We start from the raw sequence: 11,225 nt of genomic DNA on the forward strand, positions 1-11,225 counted from the left end.
TCTGTATTTATATCTATATAGAGAGAATGTTTCCCCTAGTAGAATATAAACTCCATGTACTTTATCAATTTTGTTCTCTGATACATCACCAAGTGTACTTGAAATGTGGCTTGTCCAAATTGAGATGTGCTGTAAGTATAAAATGCCAGGTTTTGGAGACTTTGTACAAAAAATGTAGAATAGCTTATTAGTAATTTTGTATTAATTATATATTGAAATTAATCTCACCTGTTGCATTTTACTTTTGTTAGATATGGCTACTATAAAGCTATATTTCCATTGTCTAGAACTGTTTCATAGGGCAAACTGTAACACGATTTTTTTTTTAATTTCATATTTCCCTTGCTGGAGTGCCTGGCTTCCTCTCCCTAAGGAGCCAATGACCCGACTTGGGCCCAGAGCTGGGGGCAGCAGCTGAGGAGCTGTCCACTCCACGGTGCTGAAAACAGGACCCAAGGGCCCAATCCTGCTGCCCGGCAAGGGGACTTCCGGGCATGCTAACGCTGCAGCCTCAGCCTCTGACTTGTTGAGTGGTCCCAGAGCCTTCAAGAATTCCCTTGTCCTGCCAACAAGTCAGTTCCCAGCTTTGGTCCCGTGCCCTGTGGGAGGTGCACGAGCAGAAGAGAGACATCCCATCCTGAAGACGTCTCCCTCTCCCTGGGGAAGGCAAGGCTTTTGCAAACTAAACCTTGGGAAGACAGCCTGTAATTAGAGCAGTAAATTGTGAGGGCCACAGGCTTTGGAGAGGGTGGAAGGCAGGAAGCTCGCGGTAGGCTGGCAGGGTCAGCACATTGGTGTTTTGGGAGGACCAGACAGGTTTGAACACAGCGGGATTCAGTGGGTATCCCTCCACCATGTAGCTCATTTTTGTTAGATATTCACAAACTGCTGAGTGCTGGGGGATGGTGGGGACGAGACATGGGCTCTCTCCCTGGGGTTGATGTCGCAGGGGACTTCCGGACTTCGTTTCAGGGTAAGGATTGCCTTCCTTCTTGCCTGGGCATTCTTGGGCTGTAAGGGGAGCACTGGGCCCCAGAAATAGACTCTGGACTCAAACTCTGGCTCTGTCTTTTTCCAGCTTTTGGCTGCGGGTAAATCACCTCAGTGCTCAGAGCCTGCCTCTCACCCTGGACTATGGGTCTCCTTCAGACCCTGCTTTATCAGGGATGAGTGAGATAAAAGGTGAAGCATGGCTGGGCGCGGTGGCTCACACCTGTAATCCCAGCACTTTGGGAGGCCGAGGTGGGTGGATCAATTGAGGTCAGGAGTTCGACACCAGCTTGGCCAACATGGCAAAACCTCATCTCCACCAAAAATATAGAAATTAACTGGGCATTGTGGTGCATGACTATAGTCTTAGCTACCCGGGAGGCTGAGGCAGGAGAATCGCTTGAACCCAGGAGGCAGAGGTTGCAGTGAGCCAACGTCGCACCACTGCACTTCAGCCTGGGCAACAGAGTGATACTCCATCTCAAAAACAAACAAACAAACAAAAAAACGGTGAGGTGCAGGTGCAAGCAGAGCTCCATAAAGGTAAACCTCAAAATGAATTCTTCCAATCTGTCTTTATTATGATTTACTACGGTATTTTTAAAAAACCTTCCGCATTTTTGTCCAAGTAAAGCAGTTAAAAGTTCACATTGCTGGAGAATTTAGGGGCAAAGGTCTCCACTTGGACCCCACTCTCCCTCCTCAGGGGAGTCTCTGGCCCCTTTCAGCTGCAGGAACGTCCTCTGCAGATCCACACTATTCCTGGCTGGGCTCTTGTGCTGTGGCAGAGGTGGATGGGGTCTCTCCCCACCCTTCAGCTCCCTTATCCACCTGGCAGCCTCATCCACCTGGCAGGGCAGTGGCTCTCGTGGTTCCTCTCTTGTTTGCTTTCTCACCCTAAGGAGCATATTCTGATCTTACTTTCTGCTTCATCAACTATAGGCTAGCACCTATAGATACTAATCTTTATAGCTTCTGCTTTGTTCCCAGTTGCAGAAGCACAAATGAGGAACAGGAGGGGGCTCATTGTTCTCCTGGGTCTCAGTTATGTGCACCCCCAAAAACCCAGATCTGCTGGGTCAGAGCCTCACCTTTGTTTGTAGAGCCCCCAGCCAGCACTCATCAGTGTGAGACCACACATGACCCTGTACCAGGGTTCCCTGCTCCCCTCCTGCCCTCCACAACCCAGTCTGATGGCCTCAGCTATCCTGCCTCACCTCCCAGCCAGGGCCCTCCAGCCCTGTGGCTTGGGAGACAAGGCAGGAAAGACGGCGTGGCTCGACCCTATGGGACAAATGTGAGAAGAGGTGTCAGGCGTAGTCCCTCATCAGTCACGTGACACAGGGGCTCTTCTCATTTTGTTTCAAAGTCCACAGGAGAGAGGTGATGAGGCCAATTCCCCAGCATCTCTCCAGTGAGTTTAATGTGGCTGGTTTGAATTACCCATTCAACTGAGAAGGCAGGAAGAGGTATTGCCTCCTTTTTCTCTCCCATCAATGCTGTGAGAAGATAGTATCATCTCATTTTATGGGTGGGGAAACTGAGGCACAGGGTGACTCAGCAACTTGCACATGGCCACACATGAAGGGTGAAAAGGGGCTTGTCTAGACCTGGAAGTCACCAGCACACCGGCCTGTCTCATTGTCTCATAGCATCTGCCGAAGTTGATGACTGTCTCAGTTGCCTGCCTGATGCCTGTCTTCCCCATGACAATGCCAGAGCCAAGGCCATGGCCTGGTGCATTCCATCTTCCCACTTAATGCAGTGACTGGTGTGGAACTGGTGCTTAGTAAATCATGACTGAAGGTCTGGAAAGAAGGACACAACCTAGATAGTGTGGAAGGGCTCTCTGAGAAAGAGACTGGGTGGTTTTTCTTTTCGTATTTTTTATTGTGGTAAAATATACATAACACAGAATTTATCATCTTAACCATTTTTAAGTTCAGTGGCATTAAGCACATTCACATTGTTGTGCAGCCATTACCACCATGTGTCTCTATCTTTTTTCATCTTGCAAACCTGAAACTCTGTCCCCACTAAACACTAACTCCCCATTCCCTCCTCTTCTGGCACCCACCATTCTACTTTGTGTCTCTAGGAATGTGACTATACTAGTACCTCATATAGGTGGAGTCATACAGTATTTTCCTTTTTTTACTGGCTTATATCGCTCAGCATAATGTCCTCAAGGTTCATCCAAGTTGTAGCATGTGCAGAATTGTCTTCCTTTTGAAGGCTCAGTAATACCCATTGTGTGGATAGACCACATGTGCTCATCCATTCATCTGTCATGGACACTTGGGTTGCTCCCACCCCTTAGCTCCTGTGAATAATACTGCTACGAATATGGGCATACAATTATCTCTGTGAGATTCTGGTTTCAATTCTTTTGAGTATTTACCCAGAAGAGAAATTGCCAGGTCATACAGTAATTCTGTTTAATTTTTTTAGAAAACACCATACTGTTTTCCGCAGCAGAACAGTGCCATCTTACTATAAAGTGTATCATTTTATAGTACATGTATCATATAAAATGTATCGGGATTTCAACTTCTCCACATCTTCATCAACCCTTGTTATTTCCTGTTTTCTTGTTAACAGGCACCCAGATGGGTGTAAAGTGGAGGAGATGACATCTTAGCAGAGACCAGGAGATGAGAAGAGATGCGGAGTGTCTCAGGAAGAAGGAATGTGAGCAGGCACTTACTGTGCTGGAGGGTTGAGGACAGTGTGGATGGAGCCCAGGGAGGAAGGGAGTGGCAATGGGGACAGGGCCCAGACTGTCCAGAGCCCTGCAGGCCATGGTGAAAAGTCCAGATTTTGTAATAAGAAGCCACTGGAGAGCTTGAAGTTGAGGAGTGGCATTGTTTGGTTTCCATTTTTAAAAGATCTTGCTGGCTGTTGGGTCATGTTGCAGTTATCCACTGCTGTATAACAAAGTGCTCCAAAACATAGGGACTTCAATTAGCTGTTTTAGTTTGCTCACAATTTTGTGGGTCAGGAATTTGGAGAGGGCTCAACAGAACGGTTCTTCTTGACTCCACATGATGGCCATTGGGGAGCTGGAGCCGGGAGAGCCGCCTCTGAGAAGCTTCTTCGTCACTTATCTGGTGCTTCTTGGCCATGCTCTCCTCCAGGGTGTGTCTCATTCTCCATGGCTTCTCCACGTGGCCTGAGCTGCATGCAGCCTGGTGCGCTCAGGGGAGTCTCACTTCCTACACGGCAAAAATGGAAGTGGTCAGTCCAGTTAAGAGCTATGTCCAGAACTGGCACAGCATTGCCTCTGTCATAGTCTATCTGTCAGAGCAGTCACAGGGCCTAGTGGATTCAGAGAGGTGGAGAAAAAGATTTCACTCTTCATGGATGGGGTGGGGGTGCTGCAGAGAAGCACGTGGAATAGGAGGTGGTGTCTCGGCCACTTTGGAAATGGTGGTCTCCCCCACCCAGGTGATGAATGATGGAAGTGTGGGAGTGAAGGGGGAGGAACAGGGTGGAATTATTTGGGGGAGAGCGGGGATGCTGGGTACAGGCTGGTGCCCATGGAAATGAGAAGAGGATGCATTGGAGATATGGGAGGCAGTGCCAACAGGATTTGGGAATTTAATAGATGGTAGAGAGGGAGGGAAACAAGTTAAAAAAGACTCCCAAGGTTCTGGCTTGAGTTACTGTATCAACCATGCCTTTTATTTTCTGACACTTTGACATCTGGAGCCTTACTGATTCTGGAGGGACTACCCTTCCCAGGGTTATCCAGTTCCTAGAGATAGCAAATAACCCACCCAGGGGCACACCTCTCCTATCTCCCATGCAAACTACCTAACTCAGAGCCCACTCTGCCAACTGCCTCCTCTACGAGGCGCCCACATGACTCACCTGTCCTGATCACCAGGGCCAGAGACCAAGAACAGGGGACAGCCCCTCTACCCCAGAGCCCGCTGAAATGACTCAACTAGGTCACCCTAAGCCTACGTGCCCTGCCTCACCTGTTCCTTCCCACGGAAGCCATGCTTCCCTGTGCAGCCCTCATAGCATGGCACGCCCTCCTTCTTGAGAACTGTGAGTAACAAACTAACTTTTCAATGGCAGTCATCTCCTGATCTATTGGCCTTACCATACCTATGTAATAAAAGACCTACCTTTTGAAATAGTCAGTGAGATGAAGACACCCTGGGTATGTGTGTCTGGTGAGGGCAGCCTCCTCTCTTGGCCAACCAGCTACTTTCTTTGGCTTTCTGAGCTGGAAGGGACAGGGCAGAGAGAGCCCAGGCTGTGGGGCTGAGCCCGCCCATCTCCTCCCACCTGCCCCTGGCCATTTCCCTGGTGGGAGAGTTCCCAGGTGAACCAAGTGAGTGACAATAGTCAACCCCCTTCTCGAACAGGTGGAACAGCTGACACTCAAAGGATGGAGAAGGTGTGAATCTGTTATTTTTCTTAATTAAAAAGAAGATATGTTCCCGTAGTTACATCTAAATTAGAAAGCATATCACAAGAAACTGTACATATCCCACATTCTCCCATTTCTAACATAATGATTATTGTCCTTTCTCCAGGATTCACCTTTTCATTTATTTGTTCAATGGACATTTCCACTTTCCCCCACCACATGAGCAACCTACCTGGCCAGATGCAAGCACTGGCCATGGGCAGGGTTGGGTGGTGGTCTTTCAACCTGACACCCCACTGGGATGTTTCTTATGTTGCCAGTGGTCTCCTGGCTGGCGGTTTTGTCTGGCTGAACGCTGTCATGAATGAAGTGGGGTGGGCTCCCCTGCAGCTGTTGAGTGCAATGGGTTGGCCACAGCCATGAGAGGGAAGTCTGGAAATGAGGCCAGGTCCAACATGCCATGAGTGAACAAATGGCCGTGTCCAGGCTGCCAGAGCTGAGGGAGGGAGGCTGAGGGTGCAGCCAAGTCTAGGAGCCAAGTCACTGTGGTGGCCGAGCTGGTGAGTGTGCACCAGGATGCAGGAGCCCTTCCAGGTCAGCCTGGGGCCAGCTGCTCTGAGTTATATTTAGCCTGTGCTGCCGGGGACAGCAGGGGGACCGGGGCACCCCAGGCCCTTGCATCATACACTACCTAAGTGTCTCTGGCACTGGGCATGTAGATAGCTTTCCATTTTGAGGGCATTATTTTAAGATGTTTCAATTAATAAAGAAAAGAGGAAGGGGAAGCTGTTACAGAATAAAGGAGAATGAGAAGACATACAGCAACCAATGTAATACCTCGATCTGCTTTCCGATTCCAACAAACCAACTCTAAAAACATAGCTAAAGGCATCTGAGGAGATTTGAACATGGGCTGAGAATTAAAAGATATTAAAGAATTATGAATGTGTTGGGTGCAATGATACTGTGATTAGATTTTTAAAGTCCTTATGTGCTAGAGACACAAATGGAAGTATTTATGGATAAAATGATACGATGATGTCTGGGATTTGCCTTAAAATACTAATAATATAGGCTGTGAGCTTTTAACTGTTGAAGCTGGGGGGTGGCACATGGTTCATTATCCTATTTGCTCTACTTTTGTGTAGATTTGACATTTTCCATAATAAAATACTAAAAAGTGCTTCAACCAATATATTCTCATTCTTGGCTTTTTTTGTTCCTTCTATTGCATTGTTTCCTGAGGATGAATTCCCAGGGGTGGGATCACTGGGGGCAGGGGCTTCAGTGTGTTTTTTCTGGCTCTGCATGTGCTGTCAAGTTGCTCTTCCGTAGGACAGGGTGGATTTATGCTGCTGTGTGCATGGGGGCCCTGGAACCAACCGTTGCTGGGCAGCCTTGCTGGCACTTATTTCAGTTTTCGACTTTCACTAATTCAGGTGGAAAATTGCCATTGTTTTCATTATTTCATTTCCAGGTCTTTGATTACAAGAGTAGGTGAAATGTTTGCCCTGGCTGGCCACTAGCTGCATTTCTCCCCTAGCCCTACCCACATTTAACTAAGAGAATTTTTGTTTGCAGAAATATTTGTAACCTACTGATATAGTTTAGGTGTTTGTCCCTCCAAATCTCATGTTGAAGTGTGACCTCCAGTGTTGGAGGTGGGGCCTGGAGGGGATTGTTTTGGTCATGGGGGTGGATCCTTTCTGGATGGCTTGGTGCCCTCCTCCAGTAATGAGTGAGTTCTTGCTCTATTAGTTCACACAAGACCTGCTTGTTAAAAAGAGTCTGCCACCTCTTCTCCTTTCCTCCTCTCTTGCCATGTGATTTCTATACATGCCGGCTCCCTTTCGCCTTCTGCCATGAGTGGAAGCAGCCCGAGGCCTCGCCAGAAGCAGATGCTGGCACCATGCTTCCTGTACAGCGTGCAGAACCATAAGCCAAACAAACCTCTTTTCTTTATCAATTACCCAGCCTCAGGTATTCCTTTACAGCAATGCAAATAGACTAAGACAGCTGTGGATGACATGGACCCTCTGCCCTTTTGATGCAAATGTTTCCCAATCATTTTAGTTTCTAATGTCCAGAAAGTTTTTATGTTTACATTATTAAACCCATCTCTTCTTTAATTTCTTCAATTCCAAGACAGGCAGGTGTTAATACTTCCATATATCTGCCAAAGCATCAACTGTGTTTCCACTAGGTTTTCTATGATTGGATTTCTTATAGTCAAATCTTTATCTAAGTTTAAATGAGTCTATGATGCAAAATATACATGCTTCTTTTTTCTTTTCAGAATTGATCTCCAGCTATCTCAGCATCATTTTGTAAATTATTTTCCCCTTCGCCGTTATTTAGTCTTGAGTATTTGTGAATGATTAACTCCTCATGTATCTGACAGGGCTCTATCTCAAGGCTCTGAATTCTCTTCTCCAGCCTCATGTCTGTCTCTGTGGCAGCACCACATGTTGCTTTAGTCACTGTTACTTTAGAGCGTGCCCTGACACCTGGCCATCCTGGAGTCTGAGCTCAGTCGCCTCAGACTCCAACACAACCCTCTTACCTTCCCACGCTTCCCCCAAGGCTCTGGACCTGGTGGAAGGAAACTCGGGTCTGAATTCCAGTTTTTCCATGAGCTGCATGTGTATGGGCAAATCCCTTAGTCTCTCTGAGGCTCAGAGCAATTATATGACTTGTCAGCCAGGTGAAATGCCTGGTCTAACAGGTGCTCCGTACATACCTGCACTTTGGGATTTTAAAACTGTCCTTGGAGGTAACAAAGCCTGCAACTCAGGTGGGCTTGGGGGGAGGTGGGGCATCTTCTTCAGGGTGAGATTGGTTGTCATCCCTCTTGGCAAATCCTGGGGATGTTCCGATGAGGGGTCCCTGCCTGCCAGGGTCTGGGTCTGGCTTGGGTGAGGGGCACTGAGGCACCTCATCCCCGTGCGAGCCATAGCGGCTCACAGCTCTGTTTCCATGGTTACTGCCTGGGGATGAGATCACCTTCCAGCTCACAGGCCTGGGAGCACCAGGAATTCTGCCAAGAAGGCCCTCTGGTGTGCGGCAGTTAGTGTGGCTGGCCATGGGGTGGGGGTGGCGTGGGCTGGATGTCCCTCCTGGACAGCAGGGGTGGGGCCACAGGGCACAGGTGGGAGTGTCATGAACCTGAGCCAGAGAGGCAAGCTTGTCCAGCCAGGACCATGTAGCGTGTCAGTTCTGGTCCTCCATGAAGCAGACACTGAGATGGAATGAGGTGTGCAGGAGATTTATTGAGGGAAACACCATTGGGGAACATAGGGAAAGGAGGTGGGGCAGGTGGGGGAGTCTCAGATCAGGACTCAGGGACCTGAGAAAGGGAGGAGGGGACAGGAAGAGCCCCAGGCTGCGGTACAGCTCTGAGAGAGCCTTGGCCACACTCCGCAGAAGGCCCCAGCGTTCAGACTGCCCAGGGAGGAGCTCCTTTCTCCAGGATTCATCTTTTCATTTATTTGTTCAATGCCCCAGCACCCACTGGCCATGCTTGGTCCTCAGCCTCTGTGAAAAGCTGCCGTGGACCTTGAAGGCACAGGAGCTGGGGGCTGTCGGTCAACCACCTCCTCCCAGCAGGCTCTCTCCTGGAATGAGCACCAGCAACCTACCCCTTGGAGCCATGTCTCACTCACTGCATGGCCTTCTGGAGTCCTCAGCCTCCCCTTCGGTGCTAATGAGGACTGGGGGGTGTGTTGGCCTCAGAGTCACCTCATGCAGGCAGAGAAGCAGCAGCATGTCAAGCCCAGGGAGGACATCACCCCTTTCCTAAGCTTCACCTCCTGGTACCAAGGCTCATAGCCCCAATCCTATTCAGGGGAGATGCTGGTGGCCACACTGAGGTATCCCCAGGAAAGGGCATGGAGGGAGGGCCCTGGGGCTGCGCCAGGGAGGCATAGGCCATGCTCTGGGAGAAGGGGCTCTGCACACTCAATGTCTGCCAGTGGAAGATGAGACCTCAAGCCGTGTGTCCATGTGGAGGGATTTTGGGGGAGACACTGGGGCCCAAGGAAGTCTCCTGGAGTCCTGGACTGAGGGCTTGGCTGTGGATGATGGGGAAATTTGGAGAGAGGAGGCATGAAGCAGGACCATGAGAAAGGGGGGCTGTGTGAGCAGAAGGTGAACGCGGGGTATGGGGAGGGAGAGCAGAGGGAGAAGTTGGACATAGGGCACTCGGAAGGTGGAGGGTGCTCTGGAATGCTCCAGAGGAATCTGGGGAGACCTCTCCTGTTCATGCCCACTGTGGGCTGAGTGCATAGAATAAAAACAGAGCTCCTCTCATGAGCCAGCCACCCCCCTGGCCTCTCACTCTCCCTGGATGCCCCAGCCCCTTTGCCCCCGACACATGGGCCTCTCTCTCTGGGACTGCTCAGAGCCTCCACACTGCCCTTCTATGGACAGAACACTTTTCCCATGCAGCTCCTGCTCATCCTTTAGGTTTCAGCCCATGTCCCCTCCTCGCGGCCTCAACCCAAGCTGTCTGCTGTGTGTTGCCCTCTGCTGTGCGTGGCCCTGCCTGATTTTCTTTGTCACACTGGCCACGACCTCCAAGTGTCTTGGTAGTGTTTTTGTTTACCACTTCCTCTCCCAACAGGTTTGTCACTTCCAAGGTGACTTTGTCTACCTTGTTCATGACTGTAACCCCAGCTCCTAGAGCACACCCAGCACATAGCAGATGCTTGAAAGAAATTTGTCAAATGACTGAATCCAGGCGCCTTTAAATTCTTACCCATGGGAGTGGGGGCATTGTATCACCACACTTGATTTTCAGGGAGGAGGCAGAGGTGAAAAGAGAGTCACCCGTCCATGGCGACTCCACGGGTGAGGGGCTGTGGCCGCTCCTGAGTTGGTTTCCTGCTTCCTTCCTGAGTGGCCTTGCACAGGCCATCCACCCTCTCTGGGCCCCAATGTGGGCTGTGTGAGGAGTGGGCGAGAAAACATCCACGGAGATGTCCTGCTTCAGGCCAGACACCTGTGAGCCCCTGTTCCAGGCCACTGACACACAGATATCTGGTTCTGAGTGGCTCTTACGTGTGTCAACATTGCCCTTCTAACAGCCCTGCTGGAGTGGGGGAGGCCTGAGCTTGGAAGAGCCTCTGAAGGGAGGGCTGATGTGTGAGGGATTTATGGACGCTGCTCGAAATGAAAAGCAATTCAATTCAATCCCAGGGTCGTAAGAGACTTCCCGGAGCCTCACTAAGTGGGTCTGGAGCAGTGATCAGCGTTGCAAATCTATTAGCTGTGCTCGGCATCTGGGGCCGCCGCATGCATGAGTCATCGGGGTGGGAAGCCAGGAAGCTGCATCGTCCGGCAGGCCACTCATCAATTAAACTCCTCTCCGTTTAATTAAGACATAAAACATCACCCTGTGTGTCTGCCAGAGGGGCCAGACACCCAGGGCTGTGGCAGCCCCACAGGCAACCCCCCTGCCACCCAGACCCAGACATCCACCCGGCTGTGGGGCCACCGAGGAGTCTTTCTGTCCATTTCCCTGCCCAGGACTCGGCATCCCCAGTGGAGGCCCCTCTGCTTGTATGCTGCTGGGGTGACTTGCAGCTCACTCCTCTGTTCCTCTGCCACCCTGGACAGGACGGCAGAGTGGTCAGGTGTGCCTCTGGGGTCAGGCTGCCTGTGATCAGGCTACTTAGCCATGTAACTTTGGCCCAGTTCTGAGTCCCTCTCTCTGTGCCTCAGTTTCTCCAGCTGCACATAGAAGGATGGGACTAGTATCATCAGTGCAGGGTTAATTTGAGGATTAAGTGAGTTAAGGTGCACAGAGCACTGGGGACAGAGCCCAGGCTGTGGACAGCATCTCTGCACTCAC

General features: G+C 50.2%; 1 annotated feature.

The window, feature by feature from the left end:
* Window positions 362-562: a silencer, noted in NCBI's record as "peak4818 fragment used in MPRA reporter construct". NCBI's record gives its function as "represses an SCP1 promoter by STARR-seq MPRAs in K562 erythroleukemia cells {active_cell/tissue: K562}" and the evidence as "EXISTENCE:reporter gene assay evidence [ECO:0000049][PMID:32103011]".

This window comes from Homo sapiens, chromosome 3 (assembly GCF_000001405.40).
Source record: "Homo sapiens chromosome 3, GRCh38.p14 Primary Assembly".
Taxonomy (NCBI): Eukaryota; Metazoa; Chordata; class Mammalia; order Primates; family Hominidae; genus Homo; species Homo sapiens.